This window comes from Homo sapiens, chromosome 14 (genome assembly GCF_000001405.40).
Source record: "Homo sapiens chromosome 14, GRCh38.p14 Primary Assembly".
Taxonomy (NCBI): domain Eukaryota; kingdom Metazoa; phylum Chordata; class Mammalia; order Primates; family Hominidae; genus Homo; species Homo sapiens.
Genome location: NC_000014.9, coordinates 90,254,655 through 90,278,843, shown reverse-complemented (window position 1 = coordinate 90,278,843; position 24,189 = coordinate 90,254,655). Strand labels below are relative to the sequence as shown.

General features: G+C 46.0%; 2 protein-coding genes across 3 annotated transcripts in view, besides 4 other annotated features; one reads left to right on the top strand and one right to left on the bottom strand.

The window, feature by feature from the left end:
• NRDE2 (NRDE-2, necessary for RNA interference, domain containing) overlaps positions 1–10,984 on the top strand; it is a 64,082-nt gene extending 53,098 nt beyond the window's left edge. The window contains exon 14 of the mRNA NM_017970.4: positions 383–10,984. Within this exon, the coding sequence (NP_060440.2) occupies positions 383–508 (126 nt within the window). The 3' untranslated portion in view covers positions 509–10,984. The remainder of the gene's footprint in view (positions 1–382) is intronic.
• PSMC1 (proteasome 26S subunit, ATPase 1) lies at positions 3,415–22,291 on the bottom strand. Of its 2 annotated transcripts, NM_001330212.2 has the most exons (12): positions 20,860–20,905; positions 20,683–20,768; positions 19,631–19,684; positions 18,633–18,729; positions 15,402–15,526; positions 14,997–15,182; positions 14,675–14,803; positions 13,678–13,774; positions 10,431–10,620; positions 9,296–9,447; positions 8,492–8,646; positions 3,415–6,571 (listed from the first exon to the last, which is right to left on the bottom strand). In NM_001330212.2, the coding sequence occupies exons 5-12, from the start codon at positions 15,459–15,461 to the stop codon at positions 6,437–6,439; spliced, it is 1,104 nt and encodes a 367-aa protein (NP_001317141.1). In that variant the 5' UTR covers positions 15,462–15,526; positions 18,633–18,729; positions 19,631–19,684; positions 20,683–20,768; positions 20,860–20,905; the 3' UTR covers positions 3,415–6,436. The 2 variants fall into 2 exon arrangements, with proteins under 2 accessions (NP_001317141.1, NP_002793.2); NM_002802.3 differs by lacking the exons at positions 20,683–20,768; positions 20,860–20,905 and adding an exon at positions 22,244–22,291.
• Positions 21,588–22,115: an enhancer, noted in NCBI's record as "OCT4-NANOG-H3K27ac-H3K4me1 hESC enhancer chr14:90723073-90723600 (GRCh37/hg19 assembly coordinates)". NCBI's record gives its function as "activates a minimal SCP1, AML or CMV promoter by ChIP-STARR-seq in primed H9 embryonic stem cells {active_cell/tissue: H9 hESC(primed)}" and the evidence as "EXISTENCE:reporter gene assay evidence [ECO:0000049][PMID:30033119]".
• Positions 21,588–22,645: a biological region, named in NCBI's record as "OCT4-NANOG-H3K27ac-H3K4me1 hESC enhancers GRCh37_chr14:90722543-90723072 and GRCh37_chr14:90723073-90723600".
• Positions 22,001–22,240: an enhancer, noted in NCBI's record as "active region_8874". NCBI's record gives its function as "activates an Ori minimal core promoter by ATAC-STARR-seq in GM12878 lymphoblastoid cells {active_cell/tissue: GM12878}" and the evidence as "EXISTENCE:reporter gene assay evidence [ECO:0000049][PMID:35858748]".
• Positions 22,116–22,645: an enhancer, noted in NCBI's record as "OCT4-NANOG-H3K27ac-H3K4me1 hESC enhancer chr14:90722543-90723072 (GRCh37/hg19 assembly coordinates)". NCBI's record gives its function as "activates a minimal SCP1, AML or CMV promoter by ChIP-STARR-seq in primed H9 embryonic stem cells {active_cell/tissue: H9 hESC(primed)}" and the evidence as "EXISTENCE:reporter gene assay evidence [ECO:0000049][PMID:30033119]".

Genomic DNA, 24,189 nt, shown 5'->3' with positions numbered 1-24,189 from the left:
TTGCCGTGGGTAGCTGGTTTCCCAGCATTTGGTCAGAGTCCAGCCCAGATGCTGAAAGAGTTGGGATCATGTCCCAGCCTGGCTGTGAGAGCCCAGGTCAGGTGACACTCAGAAGTGAAACTGAGGGCGACGGCCAGCAATTCCTGGACCCCTTTTAAAAGAGAAGGCCTCGCTTGGCGTTTGCTCACTTTTGCGAGTTCAGTGTCCTTCCTGAACATGCCCAGTGCTGCCCGAGTTAAGAAAGTCTCAGCCAAGGGGAGCAGGGGCCGTGGAGGGCGACAGGAGGGCAGGGTCACCAGGAACCTGGCCCTTGCTTCCTGAGCTCCTCCAGGCTGACAGGAAGTGGCGGCTGAGTGGGGCGGCCTTCCTGCCTGCCCCCTAGGTGTTGTACCTGGACGCCGTGGAGTATTTCCCCGATGAGATGCAGGAGATCCTGGACCTGATGACTGAGAAGGAGCTCCGGGTGCGCCTGCCGCTGGAGGAGCTGGAGCTGCTGCTGGAGGATTAGAGAGCAGCGGGAAAACGGGCTGTGCCTGCGAGGCCAAGTTGCCCACCCTGCGGAGCTAGGAGGCGCGAGCAGAGAACGTGTGTGTTAGGAGAACTCGGCTTTTGAAATGTTCTTTCTCGATAGTAATAATGTGGGCTGCCAGCCTCTCACATCTTGCACACTTTTTGGGTGTGTAAATGACACAAAAGTTATTTACATATTATATATGTGAATATGTGTATATATGTACATAGCCAGAGAGTCATGCCACGTGGTCATTAAACCGATGATGATTGAGGCGTGGCAGCGTCCTTGCTCATTCTCTCCCTGTGCGCAGCCAGCACTGGCCCCCGCACGGTGAATGTGTTCCCTCCGCTGGTGTCGTGGTGGTCCTGCCAGGCCCTCTCTGAGATAAAGGTCTGGTTTTTCAGCACTAGGATGTCTTCCCCAGGCTGGTGAGCAGGAGATTTTGCTCTTGTGTTGAGACCCGCAGTTAACGCTTGGTGTTCTGGCCTGCACGCAGTGTGTGGCAAGTTCCCTGAGTTTACCTCGGCGGCGATGCCTCCGCCTGGAGCTGGAGGGGCAGCGTGCCCTGGGGCTGCTGAAAAACTCAGGCCTGTGGAGTCAGAACCCGCTCTTCAGCAGGTCCCAGGCCACTTGAGTGTGGAAGGCTGCCCGGGGCACTGGCAGCCTCTGGGGGAAGCCTGCTCCCAAGCCGTCTAGGAGCCGAGCACGCTGTACCGCCAGCCCCAGCCCTGCCTGCATGAGGGGCCCGGCACGCTTGTGCAGCAACGCTGCTTACACTATGAAGGCCAAGGCTGGCCTGGTTCTGGTGTTGCATTCGAGGGCTGTGAACAGAATGAAATGTCAACATCCATTTTTCAGACTTGTTCTGCCTCCGAAGAGATTTTTAGTGCTGAGTGATTTTCACTATTAACATATGGCTGGAAGGAATGGTTTTCTTATCTTCTCCGAGCTCTAGACTGGCTAGCTTCTCTCTGGCTTTTTTTGTTTTGTTTTCCTCTCTTTAGAATTGCTGTATACTTGTATCTCCTCAGCACATTTAGAAAAGCCAGTGTATAATTTTGGCTGGCAACTGACGGACGCAGCGGGCAGCAGCAGGCAGGGCAGCGCACGAGAGCACCTCCCAGGGCACGGTGGGAAACTGGCCAGCCCAGCCCCACTACTGCCCTCTCCTGCTCGTCCCCAGTCCCTGAGCTACAGGTGGCTGTAGGCAGAAGCCCACCGGGTGTTCCTTAGCGACAGACAGGTCGTCAGCTGCTCCCCTTGATGCCTTTTCACAGAAACAACCCTCAACTTGAGGAAGTTGAGAGCTCCACTCCGAGGTGGACTTGCTCCCCCTCCCTGAGAGCTAACTGGCTTGAACTGTCATGAGTTCCTGGCTGCCCACAAAGAGGGACCTTCTCCACCCTTGTCCTCTGCGTGGGGCAGACATCAGCCAGACATGTCACCGACCTGATTGGGGGCAGGGAGTAGGAAGTCCAGGACCAAACCATGCTCCCCATGACAGCAGCTGGCGCCTCAGTCCCCATCTGACTCATGTCTCTTCTCATCTGGTTCAGAACTTAGAAGGGCGTGGCCTCTGATCAGCTGGTTCCCTCCAAACCCCAGTGGCAACCTGTCCCTTGAGAGCCAGGAATGGCTCTTAGCAGTGGGCAGTGAGCCCCCGAGAGGATAAAGCGGCTGCTCGAACAGATTGCGAGCACATTACTTGCTGCATGGGAGGAGGTTTAAAACAAATCAAAGATTCCTTGAGGGCATTTTACAGAAAACAAGATGTCAAGAGCATCACTGTTGTTATTTAAAAGCCCATTTGAGGCCAGGCGCGGTGGCTCACGTCTGTAATCCCAGCACTTTGGGAGGCCGAGGCGGACGGATCACGAGGTCAGGAGATCGAGACCATCCTGGCTAACATGGTGAAACCCCCGTCTCTACTAAAAATACAAAAAATTAGCCGGGCGTGGTGGCTGGCGCCTGTAGTCCCAGCTACTCGGAAGGCTAAGGCAGGAGAATGGCGTGAACCTGGGAGGCAGAGCTTGCAGTGAGCCAAGATCGCGCCACTGCACTCCAGCCTGGGCGACACAGCAAGACTCCGTCTCGAAAAAAAAAAAAAAAAAACAGCCCGTTTGAGATTGCTGACATGAACTTCTGAAAGATGACTACGTGCCTCCCAAGACTAACCGTCAGCTTGGAGGGCTGAGAAGGGGGTTCCCAGCTGGAGTCAAACAGTGGCTCATGTGTTTCATCAGGAACGCTCGTCATTTCCCCGAAGGAGTCACTGATCACATCAGACCACAGGGGTCGGCCCACCTCGGGTTTGGGACAGTGTTCTTTCCTGGAATGAAGCAGTGGCAATGCCTCTGGCACAGGATTGCTGGGCCTGCAGGAGGCCAGGAGGCACCTCTGTGCTGTGTTCCCAGTAGGAGGAGGCAGCTACTACTTGTAAGGCACACATATCATTTTGCATTGGAAAAGTGAAGATAGGCTTGCTGCAGAGGGAGTGATGGGAGAGTTCACCTTAAATTGTTCTACTGAGGAAGGGCTCCAAAGAGCCAGTGGGTTTTCCGCAGGCAGACGGGGTTCTCCCTGTCCGGCTCACCAGTGCAGGAAGCCAGGGAAGAAATTACTGTGGGAATTCTGTTATTTCACAAGCACTTCATACCTGCATCCCTGCACTTGGCACCGCAGGCCTCAGTGACCAGCTGCCGAAACGGTAATTTCAGCATTTTGGTCAGTAAGCAAACTGGAGAAGCAGCTGGGGTGGGGCGCAGTTCAGCCCGCTACCCTGACACTCTAGGCCCTGGCATTTGCTTTAGCTGCTTTTGTAGAATTGACATGAGGGAGACTGTCCCTCTAGAGGAAAACGCTCAGCTATTACCAATGAGGAAAAGGCAATACTGATGTGCTGGGGTTTTTTGTTTTTTTTAATCTCAAACTTAGGAAAAGATGCAAGTGCGTTACAAAGAATTTTGTTTCCTGAACCGTGTGAGTCAGTTGCTGAGAGTCTGCTACCCGCCCACGATACAGACACTGAACAGGAAGTCAGCATGGACGCAGTACTCCTAGCAGGTCCTCAGGCCCAGTCATGTCCTCTAGGAAAAGGATCCAGTTCAGGAGCAGGAGCTGCACTTGGTTGTCATCTCTTTGGTCTCCTTCTGATTGGAAGCTTTTTGACTTCCAAGACGTGGATACTTTTGAAGTGTTCTGAATTTGTAGAATGTTCCTCAGTTTGTGTTTGCCTGGTGTTTCCTCAGCACTGGATTCAGGCTAAGCATCTTTGGCAGGAGTGTGACAGCACTGACACTCTTGGGTGGCACGTACTTTCAAAGTGCCCATTACTGATGATGTGCATTTGACCACTTGGTGAAGACGGTGTCTGCTGGGCATCTCCAGTGTGACTTTCCCTTTCTAACTGAACAGTGTTTTGTGGCAGACTCTCAAAATCTGTAAATACCCCTTCCTCAGCAAACTTTCAGATCAATTCATATGTATTGGGGTGTGTGTGTGTGTGTGTGTGTGTGTGTGTGTGTGTGTGTGTGTGTGTGTGTAGTTCCCTATTTAAAGGGCTATACTGTATTCCATTAATAGTAACTGTTTGTTAGGATGCTCAGATTGTCCCGAGTTTGGCCAGTGGAAGCCCCTTCACATAGGCTTCGGTGTCCTTAGGACATGTCCTTATCATTCCTTGAGCACTCCCTTGCTTTCTGGCAAAACAGACTTTGGGTTCATCCTGTCCTTTCCCTGCCTAGCCCCGGAATCAGCCCTCACTCCTTTTAGTGGAGAATAATACTTTTAGCAGCAAAGGTCTGGGTCTAGGGGTGCTCACTGCAGTTGGGGTGTCACTGTTCCCAGGTGCTCCCAGTGGACAGAGGTCGTTCTTGTTTTCTTCTTTCTGTGTCTAACTCCTCAGAGAAACCTGGCTCCCACTGTCCTGTTTACCTGCCTGACTGCCTCCATACATAAGCAGCCTCCCTCCCCTGCCACCACCCCGTCCCTGCAGATGCCTTCCTCACCCACTTGGGCTCTCATACTGCACATCAGGCTGCCCACACTGACTCCCCCTATCGGACCACCCCAGCCCTGCACATACACCCCACACGGATGCCAGCCTCACCCTGCCCATGCTGAGTCCCCGTGCTGTGGTGTTCCTCCACATGGACAGCTCCACACCCTACTTGGGCTGACACCCGCCCTCCCCACAAGCACCCCGTCCTTACCCTGCACTGGGCCACCCCCACGTGTGGATGTCCTCTGTGGTAGGCAGAGTGGCGCCCCTAAAGATGGCCACACCCTAAGCCCTGGAACGTGTGAATGTTACATGGCAAAAGGAACTTTGCAGATAAAAATTAAGAAGATTGTAAACTTTAAAACAGGGAAATTATCCTGGATCATCTGCATGGGTCCAATGCAATCACAAGGATCCATAAGAATAGAAAAGGCAGGCAGAAAGAAGGGTCGGTGGGAGAGAGGGACTGGGCCTGCTGCTGCTGGTGGAAAATGAAGTGCCACGAGTCAGGAGGGAGGGTGGCCTTCACAGACTGGCAAAGGCCTCAGCTGGCAGCCAGCAAGGAAATGCTGACCTCAGCTGGCCCACAACTCCAAGAAATTAAATTCTGCCAACAATAATCCTCAGCAAGGAAACGGATTCTCCCTTAGAGACGCCAGAGGGAACGGTCCTGCCAACAGCAAGACTTTAGCCTGGAGACACTCGTGTTGGACTTCTGACCTACAGAACTGAGATAAAATTGTGGTTTTTATTTATTTATTTATTTATTTTTGAGACGGAGTCTTGCTCTGTCGCCCAGGCTGGAGTGCAGTGACGGGATCTTGGCTCACTGCAACCTCCGCCTCCTGGGTTCAAGCGATTGTCCTGCCTCAGCCTCCTGAGTAGCTGGGACTACAGGCACCTGCCACCACGCACAGCTAATTTTTGTATTTTTAGTAAAGATGGGGTTTCACCATGTTGGCCAGGCTGGCCTCAAACTTCTGACCTTGTGATCCGCCTGCCTCAGCTTCCCAAAGTGCTGGGATTACAGGCGTGAGCCACCGTGCCTGGCCAAATTGTGCTGTTTTTAAACAAAGCCTGTGGTAACTTGTTATAGTATTAACAGAAAACTAATACACACTCCTCATTCAGTGTGGGCCCTACAACCCACACCAGGCCACCTGTCAAGGGAACGCTTACCTTGATCTGTCCCACTTAATAGCTTTAGGCCTGATTTGTTCAGAAAGAGAAATGACGGAAATAGACGGAGAAAGGGAAGGGGAAGTTCTGACATGTTTCTGAACACCTTGAAAGGGATGAGATTTCTGAGCCCAAGGGCTCAGAAGGGCTTTCAAGATATCTCTAGGAATCCTCAGTCTCTTGGGAACACCAGTAGTTATTTTCTGCCCTCAGAGTGCTAAGAACATGCATGGTCCACAAAACTTCCAAAAAGGAAAGCTGTACTTCCTTTGGAAGCAATAGCCACATTAACGCAGCCTTTATTATTTAAACAACGAATATCCCTGGCTCTGTGGTAGTGACCATTTCCCACTGTAATTACCGTTGAACGCCAGCTCTGGGGGTGTGATGTGGCGAACGCATAGTGAGGTCCACACTCCTTGGGACCGCAGCCTGAGTTCCTGTCCAAAGGCTTCCCTGTAGCTGGGTCCACCCACAGGCTGCTGTTGAGCGGTAGGTGTGTGTGGAGACTGCAGAAACAGGAAGTGTTTGTGAAAGAGCACGCTTTATTGGGAAGCAGACTGCTGCACAGTGACCAACAGGCCACCCAATGGGCACTTACACATCGTACTCCAAAAGACACAGGATGTTTTGCTAATAAAAATCAGTGGGAACAGGGATTCCTCTGGGCAACTCCCCCAACCTCATCCCTTTCAGGGATTGAGAAATCTCCCAACCATTTTCCTGATGACAGCCATGGTTCATTAGAGATACAGCCCCTCAGGGGTGCCTTCCTGTTTCTTATAAAGAACATTTTCTTTAGATTTTTTGAAGTCTTCATTTGTTACTTTCATTCTACGTTCTCTTAAGGCCATCAGACCAGCTTCTGTACAGATTGCCTGTAAGAAAGAAGAGTGTGTTCAGAAAGTGACATACTCATTTTTATTCTAACAAGGAATTCCAAAAAACCTATTCTGAGGCCAGGCGCGGTGGCTCACACCTGTAATCCCAGCACTCTGGGAGGCCGAGGCAGGTGGATCGCCTAAGGTCAGGAGTTCAAGACCAGCCTGGCCAACACGGTGAAACCCCATCTCTACTAAAAATACAAAAAGTTAGCCAGGGACGGTGGCAGGCACCTGTAATCCTAGCTACTCGGGAGGCTGAGGCAGGAGAATTGCTTGAACCCGGGAGGCAGAGGTTACAGTGAGCCGAGATCGCGCCACTGCACTCTAGCCTGAGCAACGAGCGAAACTCTACCTCAAAAAAAAAAAAAAAAAAATCTGTTCTGAAATAAAGCATGAGACACCTAGACTAAACACAAATTGCTTATTTGGGAAAGATTTGATTTTTAAAAAAAATGTTTTAAGCATCCTATTTTCTGAAAGGATGTGAAGTGGCTTAAACTGGGAGTTACTGTAACTAAGACTGACCCAAGGGTCAGGGCTGTGGGTTCTAGTTTTGGCTCAGGTTCTAACAAGCTATGTGGCTTGTACAACACCACTTTTGTTAAAGAGAATAATATTCCTAGGAAATAAACAAAATTATGCCCTGAAACTTAGAGGCAATTGACAGTATATGTCTATTTCATTTACTTATAGTCATAAAAGAACATGTATTCTGGTTAGATACTGTAAGTGGCAGTATCTATACTATGGAATAATACTACAGAGTATAGCATTTATTCCAATATATTTAATTTCTCAGTAATTACTGGCCCAAAGTAAAAGAAAACAATAACCCATGTTACATGGGTTACTGTTATTGTTTTAGGCCTGATCTGTTTAGAAAGGAAAGAGAAATGAAGGAAATAGATAGAGAAGGACAGCAAACAAACATATTATGTGGGTTACTGTTATTGTTTTCTTTTTCTTTTGGCCAGTAATTACTGTGGCAAAAACAAGATGTGGCAAAAAACACAATCCTGGCACAGAAGTTTGTTTGGTGATGGCCATCAGGTTATTTACTTCAAATGGTTCGGGTGAAAAGAAAGTTTTGTGTATAGAAAGAGAAAAAGCAAACAGGTAAAATGTTAACTCTTGGCAAATCACTGTGCTATTGTTGCAACTTTTTTGAAGGCTTGAAAATTGTCAAAGTAAGTTCTTATCTTAAAATTTTAAGATCTTTCAATTTTTAAAAAAGAAGATAGATTTTACTTGCCAACAGAGACATCTAGTTCTCTAGGACTAACTGCCAATGATCCGTGGGCTCAGGGCAGGTGCTGGCCTGGAAAGGCACTGCTTGTGCTGTCCCTACCTAACCATGGCATTTATGCCCAACGAAAACCCAGCTCTTTCCAGGAAAAGCAGGTAGAACCCATATTCAACGCTGCCAGACCTTGCTGTAAATTCTGGTCAGCTGGGAGGAAATGTCCTAACTCATGTACATTTGTCATAAAACCAAGAAGTATAATCTGGTACAACCTTCCAGAACACAGATTGGGAGATGAATGCAGCGGGTGCTTGGTCCCCACTCTGCGGCTCTGGGGAGAGTTCTCCCAGGACATACCCTTCCCCTGACCTGGGACTGAGCAGCTACATTTGACACACCTTGAGAAAGTCACCTGGGCCTAAGGCTTAGTACCAGCGACTCAGCCTTGTGGCTCCAGGTGATTTAGCGTCATTCACTGCATAAAATGATGCATTAAGAATGACTTCAATATCAAGCACATATACCATTTGGATGTAATCGTAAACCAATATGATGATTAAAATACAGACACCCACCTGTCCAGGCCAACCACCATCCCAAGAGCACATATAGACTCTTTCCTGATTGACGGCCACATTCCCAGAAATAAGCTGACACGGCTAGGCTCTCACCTTGATGTCAGCACCAGAGAGGTCATCTTTAGCCATGATCAGGTCGTCCAGGGTTACATCATCAGCCAGCGTCATCCTGCTTGTGTGAATCTGAAAGATGCGCTTCTTCGTCTTTTCATCAGGCAGGGGGAACTCAATCTTCCTGTCAATGCGGCCTGCAGGTACAAAGAGATTTGAAGTCACACCAACATCCAAACCCAGGCTCGGCCATGGCTCAGAGGCCTCAGCCCATCTCCTTACATACGAAGTTTCAGTCGGACAGAATTCTGTGGGAAGGATGTCTAAATTTTAAAAAGTAAACATATATTTTTGTAGTTTGTAGATTTCTACATTTGAATTCTCTTCATTTAAAAGAAACTCTCTCTGCTTTGGTACCTTCAGAAATAAATGAAAGGAGCAATTCCTGAGTGAAACTGGGCAGACCTATTGTGTTAAAAACATTACAAAAGACAGCAAACAAATCACTGTTTCTTCTGATGCTACCTGAATGTAAAAAGGACAAATCCTACCATCACATGAATTATTTCTTCCAGAAAAAGCAGCAAGTTCTTGAGGCTAAAAAGGGAATGTTATGGAAAAGAAAAGACAAGACATAAGACTGGAATTCAAAGGGCCAAGGTGCACAGACCATATCATGCTCTGTTTTAACCCTCATCTCAAGAGGACCTATTTTTTTGTAAATTATCCTAAGTTTCACTGCAGTATTTGCTTTTTTATGTATCATTTTATAGGCCTCCCAAAGCACACTTAAACACAAATATATAAACACATTAATCTCCATGATGAAACCAAAGCAAATTTAACCTGGTCTGATAAGTGCTGGATCCAAAGTTTCTATTCGGTTTGTGGCCATGATAACTTTCACATCTCCCCTAGAATCAAATCCATCCAACTGGTTCAGCAGTTCCAACATTGTTCGCTGAATTTCTCTCTCACCACCAGAATTGGAGTCATATCTTTGGAAAAAAAAAAAGGGAAGGAATGAAGACTCAACTGATCGCCTGCTCAAGGGGAATTACAGCAAAGACCTCATTGTGACAAAACACCTTAACAAACATTCCTGTTTCAACTCACATGGCACTCCCTCAATTATGCTCGGAAAAAATAAATTCAGCACCCCTTGCCATGGTCTGAATGTATTTCCCCAAATTTATGTGTTGAAACTTAATCCCTACTGTGTGGCTAAGAGATGAGGCCTTTTGGAAAGGGCTAAAGGCATGAGGCAGAGCCTTATACAGCATGAGTTCCTTCTAAAAAGAGAAAAAGGCCTTATACAGCATGTATTCCTTATAAAAAATGCTGCAGGGAACTAGTGTAGGCCCTTTTTGCTCTTTTGTTTGTCCCCTGAGCATTTGTCTCCTCTGCAGAATAGGTGCCATCTCGGAAGCAGAGAGCAGCCCTCACTAGACATCAATGCCAGTGCCTTGATCTTGGGCTTCTCAGCCTCCAGAACTGTGGGAAATACATTTCTATTCTTTATACAAATACCAGTCCTAAGGTATTTTGTTTAGCAGCACAAATGGACTAAGACGCTCCCATCAGCCAAGTTACAGATCATATTTTTTCATAGCAGTTTCTGTGTCTGAAATTGTATCATTTATTCTGTTTCCATGTTTGGTATCTGATCCCTACAACCTGTGAGCTCCTCCAGGGCAGAGACTTGTGCTCACAACTGTGTCCCTAGAGTCCAGATGGTCCTGGATCAGGGCGGGTGCTCAAGACATGGTTATTCATAACTGACCAATCTCTCCAGACGTTCACAGTTACTGGGCAGTTGTTAGCTGGCTCCTGGGAGAGCAGAGCCTAAAGCATGCATGGAAGGCCACGCACAGCAAGAACTGTGGCCATAGGGAGAGCCCCCTGAGATTGCTCATTCTCAAGAGAAGAGCTATGCGGTGTTCCCTACTAAACAAGGCAAAATAAGTATGAGAAAGTCTACCTTTTTGTCCCAATGGCGTCAATTTCATCAATAAACACGATGGACGGTGCATGTTCTTCAGCAACTCGGAACAATTCCCGTACGAGTTTGGGCCCATCACCTAGGTACTTCTGAATAAGTTCAGAGCCAACCACTCTCAAGAAAGTGGCTGAGGTTTGGTTTGCTACTGCTTTGGCTAACAAGGTTTTACCTATTTTGGATGAAAAAGATAAAAAAAAAAAAGACACCTTAAGTGCCATTTTAACTTAAAAACTCGTATCATTACCACCTTAAATGGACACCAAAAACAGGCGGGCCCTCATGCTAAGGCATGGCACCAATTCAAGTGTCACGACATTCCATTCTCCTAAGTAGATAAGAGGACATTTAGAAAAATCTACTAACATGTTTGGATTATCCTTAGCTATTTTGCTGAACTTATGATAACGTCAGAAAATACTTTTTACTTGGTTATTTTCCAACCTTGACCCAGTTTCCCCTGAAAAGCTGCGAACTATAATTACCTGTACGAAGAATTGCTTCATTCCAGTAATGAAATAAATCTCATTTTTTTCTCTGGTTGAGTCTGTCTTGGGCCCCTTCAAAGTTGCATACATTAACCTGACCCATCCAACCCAGGGCTGTAGAGCCAAAGTAAACTCCTAGGAAACCATCAGTGCTGGAAAAAAGGGTCTGGGAATCCTAGCTTTGGCCCTAAGGAGATACACGAAGTGTTCCTGAGCTCCAGGCATGCAGTGCCTACTGCTCCAGAAAAGTAGCTACTGGGTGGGCTTGCTGCCAGCTCAGACAGCTGAGACAGGACCAGCTCTTGATGAACGCCACAGTGAGAGCTGCTGTGGCATGCCCTTCCAAGGGAGAGGCAGTTCCTCCCACTGATCTCAGGGAAGAGCTCAAACATCATTTCCAATACTGCTCTACTTGCTGATATTTCTGTTTCAGGTTAAAAACAAGAGTCAGCTGGCCAGGCGCGGTGGCTCACGCCTGTAATCCCAGCACTTTGGGAGGCTGAGGCAGGAGGATCACCTGAGGTCAGAAGTTCAAGACCAGCCTGACCAACATGGAGAAACCCCGTCTCTATTAAAAAAGTTACAATATTAGCCAGCACATGCCTGTAATCCTAGCTACTCGGGAGGCTGAGGCAGGAGAATTGCTTGAACCCGAGAGGCTAAGGCAGGAGAATCGCTTGAACCCGGGAGGCGGAGATTGCAGTGAGCCAAGATCGCGCCATTGCACTCCAGCCTGGGCGACAGAGCAAGACTCCGTCTCAAAAAAAAAAAAAAGAAAAGAAAAACAAGAGTCAGCAAAGAGTGCCCAACTTGAGAATTTTTGAATTGGAAGACCTGGGATCCTTTGGTGGTCAGTGAGGACCTTGACAAGGGCTGGGTAGGTGCCTCAGGATACAGAGGCAGTTAGGGGCAGAGCTGGCAGCCTCGGGCCAGCACGGGAGGAGTGTGGAGGTGGCTAGCTGGTGTGTGACAGGGAAGACTTTCCAGAAATGGGATGGCTGACACAAAGCTCAGCTTTGCAACATGTGGCAATGATGTTGCTTTTAGACAGGCAGAGTAGCAGATGCAAAGGCTGGACTGCTCCCTGAAAGCATCAATGAGGGAAGGTGAACAGAAAACAAATAGGACCTTTCCAGTGGATAGGATGTTATCGTGCAGAAGCAGCCAAGTCTAGCCAGTGGGCTGCTTCTGCGGTCAGAGGGCTCACTGAACAAGCTGCCCGCTCCTCTGACAGACTTGTTTGTCCAGTCCTGCCTCCCAGCCCTGTACCGCAGCCCCTTTAGTACTAGAGCCCCACAGGGGGCCTGCAGCTGTGGGTCAGGAGGCCTGTGTTCCAGCTCCAGCCCTGTTACTAGCTCAACTCCCACAGGGGCCTTGGGCTAGTCACCGGCCATTCTGAAACATAATTTCCTAAGCTGTAAGATGAGGGGCTGTAGAAGAGGGATCTCTTCTAGCTCTCGGCCTCTGGGTACAGGTGTCTCCGTCTCTCCATTGTGGGTACCCCTCAGCACGGATCTTCTTAGGAACACTGTCAATTCTCTCAAATGACTGTGCTTCCTTTGGAATCTGCACAGCAATGAACTTCTAAGTCCTGAGCTCTACCAAATGAATCTGATACTGCAGAATAGGGTGGGTTTTTTTTGTTTTTTTTTTTGGAGATGGTCTCGCTCTGTCACCCAGGCTGGAGTGCAGTGGCACGATCTCAGCTCACTGCAACCTCAGACTCTCAGGTTCAAGCAGTTTTCCTGCCTCAGCCTCCCAGGTAGCTGGGACTACAGATGTGTGTCACCACACCTGGCTAGTTTTGTATTTTTAGTAGAGATGGGGTTTCACCATGTTGGCCGGGCTGGTCTTGAACTCCTGGCCTCAAGTCATCCATCCGCCTTGACCTCTCACAGTGCTAGGATTATAGGCATGAGCCACCATGCTCAGAATAGAGCTTTTAAAGTAGCACTTCTCCACTATGGCTCCTAGGCTTGGCCATACTCCAGATGAATAGATCAAAATCTTTGAGGAAGGGTCAGGCATCAGTTTTTTTTTTCTTTTTTTCAGACAGGGTCTCACTCTGTTGCCCAGGCTGAAATGCAGTGGTGTGATCATGACTCACTGTAGCCTCAACCTCCAGGGCTCAAGTGACCCTCCTACCTCAGCCTCTTGGATAGCTGGGACTACAGGCATGCACTACCACGCCCACCTAATCTTTTTTTTTTTTTTTTTTTGAGATGTAGTCTCGCTCTGTCACCCAGGCTGGAGTGCAGTGGCGCTGTCTCCGCTCACTACAAGCACCGCCTCCCGGGTTCATGCCATTCTCCTGCCTCAGCCTCCCGAGTAGCCGGGACTACAGGCGCACGTCACCACACCCGGCTAATTTTTGTATTTTTAGTAGAGACGGGGTTTCACCACATTGGCCAGGCTGGTCTCGAACTCCTGACCTCATGATCCACCCGCCTCTGCCTCCCAAAGTACTGGGATTACAGGCGTGAGCCACTGCGCCCGGCCACGCCCAGCTAATTTTTTATAGAGACAGGGTTTCACCAAGTTGCTCAGGCTTTTTTTTTTTTTTTCCATCAGTATTTTTAAAGCTCCCAAGGTGATTCCAACATGCAGACAAGGTTGAGCAGCCCTGTTTTAAACTAAGGAATTGTGGTGTCCTCTCTTATTAGTTCAGTAATTATAACTAGCCAATGCTGCTGCTCAAGAGACCAGCTGGGTGCCTGGAAAGTGTCAAAAACAGAGCATACCTGTGCCAGGTGGACCATAGAGAATGACCCCCTTAGGAGGCTTTATACCCATCTCTTCATAATATTCAGGATGGGTGAGAGGAAGCTCCACAGATTCCTATGAAAAACAGTATGAATGAAAGGCTTTACTGAAATTATTAGCATATTTACTAATTGGCAACATGACAATATCTTGCTTTCAACAAAAATAAGTAAAAATCTCAATTACTCTTCTTAGAGACAATGTGCTTGATTTCTATTAGCAGCAAAGACATACTGAAGATGACACCTGTCCTGCTTGAGTTCCCCGCACCCGTTCCATCTCCCTAACCACACCCAATTCCCCTTTTACTTTCTAGTAGAAGTCAGCCTGGAGCTCTTCTTGAGCAAGAGAGACTTAATAAAGCTCAAGTTGACCCTTTTCAATTAAACTACAGATAGGACTAGGAAAGACTTCCTGATGGCTGTTCCCATCTAGGGACATTACAGCTATTTCTCAGCTGCCTCAGAGGTCCCTAGCAGAGATCTGTGATGGCTCGGAATGACTTCCCTATGAAAGATCATGCAGAGAGCCGACGGCCATCCTCAATGACCATATGCCCTGCATATGGTCCAGCCCCCAGGGCTGCTGAAGGCACTGGGATTATGCTCCAACCCCACTGCTGTCTAAATGTGTGCAAGTACACATGCTATCTCCACAAAGCACTGGAGGCTTCCAGATAAACACAACTGAAGTCAACATAATCAGAAACATTACATATTCACACAGACAATGCATTCAACATTACACTAAAAAGAAGGAAGCTGCAGCTGCTGCAGGAACTATCACACAACTGACTGTTATTTCTATCACCTAACTCAGTATTAACAAATACAAAAATACCACAACTGGCAAGCTCTGACTCAGCTACTGGTTTGATTAATAAATAAGCAAACATACAAAACACCTGCAAAGTATCCTAAATGGGACAACAGAAACCAAAACTGAAACCCAGAGATGGTTACCAATCAATCATACCTTAATTTCCTGAATTTGGTTGTCCAACCCCCCAATATCTGCATAGGTCTCCTGGGGGGCCTTTTCTACCTTCATCACTGTGACCAGGGGATCCGTGTCATCCATCAGCACCCCTATCACGGCATGCACCTAACAGGAAACATCAAGGTTTAACACAGGAACGTGAGGTTTGCTGGATCTGTTTACAGCAAAGCAATGCCAGTCATGGCATCCTTCTGCCTGAGGAGTGCTTTGGTGATCTACTTCCACGGGACAGGAAGATGAACCTAAGTGAGAAGAGAAAGCACTTCCGTGGGCTTTCTGAAAAAGACTATCACCTCACCTTGTGGTTGAGCAGGACCGAGCAGCCAGGTTCCAGCAGATCCTTGTCTACAAATGAAAGAATGCTGACGTAGTGTTCTGAGCCCACAGATGTAGACACGATGGCATGATTGTCATCAATGATCTCTTCCAAGGTTCCTACTGACATCGGGGTCCCCCTCAGATCATCCACTTTTGATCTTTCCTCCTACATATGAAAATGCCAAGGGAAAAAAGCAGACTAGACCTCAAAGTAGATGATCCTGATAGTTCGCTAGATTTACAAAGCAGCCGATGCTTGTAAAAGGCAGCTAATAATACTCATGAAAGCCTGGACAGGTTCAGCTACTTGAATTTCATTTATTTGTTGACAATTTTATAGAATTCAATTTGTAAAAAAGAAAATGATAGTAACTTTTCAACTTACCTCTTGCTTTTCTTCTAATGGTTTCATTTGTTCCTGATTTCTAATGAATTCTTCCTCCATGAGAAGATAGTCTTTAATTCTCTCTAACTTCAGTAATTTTAACCGGCACTGAGTGTGAGGTGTCACTGAAATTTAAATATAAAGTTTCATTATATGTGGACCCTGAAGTTTGCAAGTAAGGAAAAAATATTAAGATTTTAAAATACGCTCATTTTTGTTGGCGATAGCTTCAGAAAAATTCAGTTTGGTAACTCTAAGTAAACCGGTGCCAAAATGGAAAGGGGAGTGTGGCTGTTATATAATCAAGCCCTTCAAAATGGGGATGGGGTTTATGACCAAATAGCTAGCCCCAAATGACACACCCTGGCTGAATAGTCTGTATACTTAAAGAAGAAAAAAGCTACTGACCCATCAGATACCTGGGTCTGGTTTATTTTTTCCCATAGGTACTAATAAAAAGTTACATATGTTGCTCAGGCAGTATACACTGTTGTATGCTGGCTATATACATACTCATCTATTTGTAGAATTTTGAAATATCAGGGATATTAACCCTGCTTATCACATATATGGCAAATATTTTTTTTCCATACATTATTGTTTCTTTTGGCTTTGAAGTCTCAAGCCACGTAAGAATTGTGTCTTTTTTTTTTTTTGAGACGGAGTCTTGTTGCTCTGTCGCCCAGGCTGGAGTGCAGCGGCGCGATCTCAGCTCATTGCAACCTCTGCCTCCTGGGTTCAAGCGATTCTCCTGCCTCAGCCTCCCGAATAGTTGGAATTACAGGTGTGTGCCACCACGCCCAGCTAACTTTTTGGATTTTTAGCAGAGACGGGGTTTCAACGTGTTAGCCAGGATGGTCCCAATCTCCTGACCTCGTGATCCACCTGCCTCAGCCTCCCAAAGTGCTGGGAATTGTATCATTTTTACAGATAAATATGTCAACCTTTTCTCTTATGGTTTCTGGGTTTTCCAAGTTACTTCAAAAACTGTCTTCTTCCCTAAGGTTAAATATATTTCTGAATTTTCATTTATTTATTTTCACATGTATACCTGTATTCCATTTGGCAAGAGTCAAGAATCTAATTTCATTTTCTCTGGACAAAAACTTTTGAAATGCCTTTTATATTTTTTTAATTTTATTATTATTATACTTTAAGTTTTAGGGTACATGTGCATGACGTGCAGGTTTGTTACATATGCATACATGTGCCATGTTGGTGTGCTGCACTCATTAACTCGTCATTTACATTAGGTATATCTCCTAATGCTATCCCTCCCCCTCCCCCCACCCCACGACAGGCCCCAGTGTGTGATGTTCCCCACCCTGTGTCCAAGTATTCTCATTGTTCAATTCCCACCTATGAGTGAGAACATGCAGCATTTGGTTTTCTGTCCTTACAATAGCTTGCTCAGAATGATGGTTTCCAGCTTCATCCATGTCCCTACAAAGGACATGAACTCATCCTTTTTTATGGCTGCATAGTATTCCATGGTGTATATGTGCCACATTTTCTTCATCCAGCCTATTAATGGACATTTGGGTTGGTTCCAAGTCTTTGCTATTGTGAATAGTGCCGCAATAAACATACATGTGCATGGGTCTTTATAGCAGCTTGATTTATATTCCTTTGGGTATATACCCAGTAATGGGATGGCTGGGTCAAATGGTATTTCTAGTTCTAGATCCTTGAGGAATCGCCACACTGTCTTCCACAATGGTTGAACTAGTTTACAGTCCCACCAACAGTGTAAAAGTGTTCCTATTTCTCCACATCCTCTCCAGCACCTGTTGTTTCCTGACTTTTTAATGATTGCCAATTGCCATTCTAACTGGTGTGAGATGGTATCTCATTGTAGTTTTGATTTGCATTTCTCTGATGGAAATGCCTTTTATATTAAATAACCCACCCTATTCCCCACAGACCTGAAGTGGCACCTTCAATGTATATTAAATATCCATGTAACATGACTGGTTTTGGACTTCCTACTCTGTTCTGGTGGCCTCTTTCTGTACCAATACCATACCAATTCATTATGGTAGACCAATGGCTGGTTTTACTGATTTCCTTCAATTAACTGAACAATATTTTTTAAAGTAGTTTAAGTATTTCTTCTTAGTTTTTTCTTCTAAGCAGGGAAGAGCATATTTAGATGAGCATTTGGGGAGGTATTTGAGCTGAAGCCTAAAGGATGAGAAGCAAGTAGCCATGAGAAGAACTGGGGGAACATTTTAAGCAGAGGAGTGAGTAAGGGCAAAGGCCCTGATATGTACAAAAGTCAAAAAAACATAAGGCAGGCAGTGTGACCGATGAGCAAGGGGGAGTGGCAGGGCTGAGGTCGGAGAGGTGGGCTGGGTCAGGTCACTTGGTATGAATTTTATTCTATGTTCGGCAGGAAGCCATTGAAAAATTTTATTATAACTTCAGGCTTGCATGATCTGAATTTCAATACAGTGGCATTTCATTTCATGAAATAAACATGATTCTTAGTTACTAAAGTTCAACCTGGGTTTTGTCATTTAAAACTATACTTTTATTTTATTTATTTATTTTGAGACAGAGTCTTGCTCTGTCATCCAGGCTACAGTGCAGTGGCACAATCTTGGCTCACTGCAATCTGCCTCCTGGGTTCGAGTTAAAACTATACTTTCAATCCACTAGAGGAGCCAGTTAAAGAAAAATGGTGACTTTTTTGTTTTTTTTTCTTTTTTGAGACGGAGTCTCGCTCTGTCGCCCAGGCTGGACTGCAGTGGTGCAATCTCAGCTCACTGCAAGCTCCGCCTCCCGGGTTCATGCCATTCTCCTGCCTCAGCCTCCCAAGTAGCTGGGACTACAGGCACCCGCCACCACGCCCAGCTAATTCTTTGTATTTTTAGTGGAGACAGGGTTTCACCGTGTTTTGCCAGGATGGTCTCAATCTCCTGACCTTGTGATCCGCCCGCCTCGGCCTCCCAAAGTGCTGGGATTACAGGCGTGAACCACCGCACCCCGCCACGGTGACATTTCTTAAAGTGAGACACAATCATATAATACTGTATTTTAAAACAAAAGATAACTTGTATGCCAACCTAGAGGAATGCCACACTCAAGAGTGAGGTAGAAATGAATCACAAAGCTAGAGCTTCAGTTGCCCCTCTACTTCCTGTTACCCCTTTCAGACTCTAAGCTACATGCACAGAGATGGTTTATCCTAAGAACTGGAAAGATGGCAAGGAGAAGCCATGTCATTACCCAGTGGCAGTTTGCTGGCAGCATCTGGTCCCTTTGTTTTCTTCTTCTTTTTCCCCACTCTAGTTGGTACAGGAGGTTCATATTTCTTTTTCTTGTCCTTGAGTTGTTAGAATAGCAGGAAAAAAAAATCACATGAAAATCATATTAAAACACACATTTATTTCTGTACCACCATCATCTATTTTCAGGTGGTACAATTTTCCTTATCTTTTAGGATGTTATTAAAAACCTGACTTGTTTCACATTCCTGCAATTTTAATAAGTAAATATGATTATAATAAGTAAATGTAGGCTGGGTGTGGTGGCTCACGTATGTAATCCCAGCATTTTGGGAGGCTGAGGCGGGAGGATCACTTGAGGTCAGGAGTTTGAGACCAGCTTGGCCAACATGGTGAAACTCCATCTCTACTAAAAATACAAAAATTAGCCGGGTGTGGTGGCAGGCACCTGTAATCCCAGCTACTCGGGAGGCTGAGACAGGAGAATTGCTTGAACCCAGGAGGCGGAGGTTGCAGTGAGCCGAGATCATGCCACTGCACTCCAGCCTGGGTGACTCCGTCTCAATAATAATAATAATAACAAATGAAAATAAATGTAATCGTTTTACCATACACATAAGTGACAATTAGCCATATTATTCCAATAAGGTATAGAGGGTTAAGAATCAAGTTATATGCCAAAAGTTTAGGTAACCTGAGACAATCTTCATACCTCAGGCTATTAGACACCAAAATTATAGGCAATTTACTTTAATACTTCTATAATGTCATTGCTTTTACACAAATAAATAACTCATAAATACCTATCTGATGGTTAGGTCAATAACCTTTTCTAAAGCATGAAAAGCATATTTATTGTATCTGTAGGACAGGCTAGTTTAAAAACTACTGGATCATTCTACTTTTTAAAATTCATGAATCCCCACAGAACTTCTCAGCCGAGACCCATGACATTTTCCACAATTTGCTCATATCACAGGACAAATCTGGCATATTTACCTTGTCATCCTTCTTGCCACCTCCAGGACCATGACCACCACTCTGACTTTGACCCTGGAGGAGAAAAATCAGGCACAGATGTAAATTCAGAATATGATCACTTCAAAAGAATAACTTTATACTGTCCTGTGAGTCTATAACATGTCCTGTGAGTAACATTTCTCCCTCATTTGAACATTTCTGAACCCAAGATGTAATACTTGCAGTCAATGTGTGCATTTAGTGTGGCAGAATTTCTTTTTCCCTGAAAAGATGTTCGATAGATTACTGGTGCACCTGGCAATTGATTGCATCTTAGAATCAAGAACAACTCTATTGAGAAGTAGATACAACTAAAGAGGCTGAGAGTCTTAAGATCACCCCCCTCTTGAGGGGAAAATATGGAGCTTCACATCTCTTGATAGGAAACTACCGGACTGAAGCTATCAAGAATGTATTCCATAAAATCAGGCTATGAAAGCTACGTCATTTTACACACTCAAAAATCGTTTACCAATCATTTACCCCTTACTTAGATCACACCAAGATCCAGAAGACTTTCCTTCCAATAGCACCTTATCCAATTCCTACCCCTAAAGCCAGGGGGCTCTGGGGCAGGTCTTTCTTCTCAATCTGAAAAGCTCCATCACCTTAAGGTGTTAAGAACTTAGTGTATTAATAAACTCAGTGGGATTCCTGATTTTAAGAGACCCTACAGTTATAGGACAATGCTTAACACTGAGCAATGTCTCAGAAATGGTGGCATTTCAAATATAAAGATGAGTGAACTTACTGATTAGAAGGGCCCACTCAGCTCCCTCAAATCAGCTCCACACAGGCACTTCTAAATTAATACACCAACACTTCTTCACCTCTTGGGCATTTTACATGTTTCTCAGTCTTAAATAACAAGTACATCAATTACTGAACCCCTACTATATGCCAGGCAGTGTCCTAAACATTCTCCAAGTATTATCCCACTTAATTCTTACAAACACGATGACACTGGTACCATCATTACCCCCTCATTTGCAGATAAGAAGACCAAGGCCCAGAGAGCTTAAATGACTTGCCTGTTGTCACAAAGCTTGTCAGAGATGGAGCCAGGAATCACATTCAGGTTTGCTGAATGCCAAAACCTGGGTGTTTCTCTACTGTTCTAGAAAAAAAACGATGGGGCTTGTGTTCCAGCACAGCCACTTACTGTGTTTCCATTTCTTCCTTATCAAAATGAGGACAGTAGTAATTACCTCGAGGGAACTGTTGTAATAAATGAGAAAATGCTGGAAAAGTACTTGGTACATGCTTAGAATACTACCCAGAAATCCGTATAAGACCTCTATGAGGCCGGGCGCGGTGGCTCACGCCTGTAATCCCAACACTTTGGGAGGCCGAGGCGGGCGGATCATAAGGTCAGGAGTTCAGGACCAGCCTGGCCAACAGAGTGAAACGCCGTCTCTACAAAAATACAAAAATTAGCCGGGCGTAGTGGCGGGCGCCTATAGTCGCAGCTACTTGGAAGGCTAAGGCAGGAGAATCGCTTGAACCCGGGAGGCGGAGATCGCGCCACTGCACTCCAGCCTGGACGACAGACCAAGACTCCGTCTCAAAAAAATAAAAATTAAAATTAAAATAAAAAAGACCTCTATGAGATCTGGCCTTCTTGCCGTTCATGATACAGGTTAAACATTCCCATCTCAGGTCCTTTGCACTTGCTGTATCTTCTGCCTTGACCACATTTCCCTCAGACATCTGCAGGGGTTACTCCCTCAATTTCGGTCCGCTCAAATTTCACCTCCTCAGAGCTACCTTCGCTGACTCTATAAAAAGCAGCCACTCCTCCAAGCTATCCCTTTCTATACAATAACCATACAACAATGACCACCCCACCCCTGACATCATATTACATATTTCTGATGATTGTCTGCCTTCTGCTCTAGAATGTACGCACTATGAAGGCAGGGACTTCAATCAATCCTCAGTGTCTACAACAGAAGCTAGCCAAAAGTTTAACAACAACAACAAAACACCAAGTGCTCAGTAAATACTTGTTTAGTGAATTGATGAATAAATGCTAGCTGTTTTTATTATTACTACTGCACCACGGGCCCTTTCCGTCTTAGCTCCGCCTGTCATAACAACGTCTTTAAGGCCTCCTTCAAATGCCCCCAGCTCCGAAAGGCCTTCCACGACTCCGCGCTCAACTCCTCAGGTGGAATGAATCCCACCCTCTTCTCCAGCACCCTTCACCTGCCCGACTCAAAAAGCATTTTTCCCGGTGACTCGAGGAGGCGCCCCCGAAACTCCCAGCGCCGATCAGCAAAGCCCTGGTCGGCGGAGCAGCAAAGCCAGCGGCCTGATCCGTTCTGCCGCCCCACAAGACCACGCAGGAGACCCTCTCTCTGCTCTGAGCCCCGGCCCCAGGATCCCCGGGCAAGGCCCGTTGGTCGGCCCCGGCCCGCGGTGGACATGAGCGCGGTCTCTGGGAGCCTCCACCCGCCGAGAAGATCAGGCCGGCAAAAGGAGAAGAGGGCTGTCCCAGTTCCTCGGGCAGCCGCCTCTTTCTCTCGCCTCAGGCTGCTGAGACCCCATCGCACCGCGACGACCAGCGGAAAGAAACCCTTAGTCACTCACCATCTTGCCTTGGCCACTTGAGCTGCCGCTGCCGGAAGTTCCTCCACCACTGCGGCCCGCCAGAGGCGGAAGTCGTTAGGGACGCTACGGAAGCTGATAGGAACCAAATTCTGCGCTGACCAAGTTGTGCTCCAAGGGCTTGTGCGGGCGGTCTAGGGCAACGCAGCAGTTTATAAGCATAAAGTGAACTTTATAAATATTTTACTTGAAAGAAATTTTTGAATACCCGTTATGAGGCGCTTGTCAACAACTTAAGACAATGACCCCTACTGTCAAAGAATTAGGACAATCGTGAAAATATAAAATATTTAAATTATGCAAAATTTATAACTGGGAAGAACTTTATGGTTCTAAAAACTGGAATGGTATTTGGAACTGGGAAGTTGACATATACATTTGCACAAATATTTCAGTTATTATTCAGCTTCTGGAATTTAACCTGCACATCTGGGAGTATGTGTGTAACGAGTCTTCTAAACCTGTCTTTTTCTGATGACCTGTGACTTGTGATGATGCCAAATGTCTTAAATTCCTCATCTTGAAGCTGATTGGTAAAGTTCCTCATTTGTTACACCCTCCAGGACATCAGAAAAATGGCAACAATCCCTTCTGTTTCTGGAAATTTCATTAACAAGTGCTCAAAATACTGCATCTTTCTGAACTGGAGAAATGGATGATTTTTTTTCTGCTCCAGATTGATTTAGGGATTTTAGTTGTGAAACACTAAAAATATTTCCCTTATGAACACACAACAGGTATACTTCTTCCTTTTCATCATCACTGCAACACGGTAATAGAAAGTCTTAGCACTATCGACCTCTGTTAACAAATCTGGCATCTAGTGTACATGACACATGAAATCACACGATAGGACAGTATCACACATAGGATAGAGATGGTGAAACTCCCATCTCTACTAAAAATACAAAAATTAGTCGGGCATCATCGTGGGCATCTGTAATCCCAGCTGCTTGGGAGGTCGAGTCATGAGAATCTCTCGAACCTGGGAGGCGACGGTTGCAGTGAGATCACGCCCCTGCACTCCAGTCTAGGTGACAGAGCGAGACTCTGTCTCAAAAAAAAAAATTAATAAAAATTTAAAAAACAAAATAAATATCCTTTCCCTAATGCATTTTACAAGAAACAAGTAAATAGTAAAATATATAGTATGCCACATAGTGGTAAATGCCATAGGAAAAATTAATGCCTAGGAAAAATGCCTAGGATTAGGAGCATGCAGCAGTGGTGGGTGATTTTAACTTTAAATTGGATGATACTTGAGCAAAAGCCCGTAAGGCATGAAGGAGTAAGCTATTCAGATATCTGGTGGAAGAGCTTTCTAGGTAGAGGGAACAGCCAGGGCAGAGGCCCTGCAGTAGAAGCTGCAGAGGATGGAGATTAGAGACACCATATAGTGAAGAAGTCAGAAACAGGCACATAACTCCCAGTGGAAGCTCAGCGGTTAAAGGCGAGTCAATAGAACCCAGTAATGAAGAGAGTAGCCAACGTTGGCATCAGACTTTCCTATTGTGGCTGTAGGAAGTGACATAAAGTAAGCAGAAAATTTAAGTTTATCTACATAATGGACAGCTAAGAGAAAGCAGGGAGAGGATTAGAAAGACTACTTGGAGTGCTCAGCACTTGGGGAGGTTGGAAGTTGCAAGTGGAAAAGAGGGAGAGTTGCAGAGATGACTGTCAACCGGGTGGGGAGGATTGAGAGTCAGCCATAGGGCAAAAGAGATGCACAGGGGCTGGGCGCCGTGGCTCACGCCTGTAATCCCAGCACTTTGGGAGGCCGAGGCGGGTGGATCACCTGAGTTCAGGAGTTCAAGACCAACCTGACCAATATGGTGAAACCTCATGTCTACTGAAAATACAAAAATTAGCTGGGAGTGGTGGCAGATGCCTGTAATCTCAGGTACTCGGGAGGCTGAAACGGGACAATC

What these genes read in the sequence shown, in the direction of transcription:
- PSMC1 (NM_002802.3), bottom strand. An exon ending in CGGTCCTGCTCAACCACAAG is followed by an intron (nt 14,804 to 14,996) that starts GTGAGGTGATAG and finishes GTTTCCTGTTAG; the next exon opens with GTGCATGCCGTGATAGGGGT. An exon ending in CTATGGTCCACCTGGCACAG is followed by an intron (nt 10,621 to 13,677) that starts GTATGCTCTGTT and finishes CATCCAAAATAG; the next exon opens with GTAAAACCTTGTTAGCCAAA.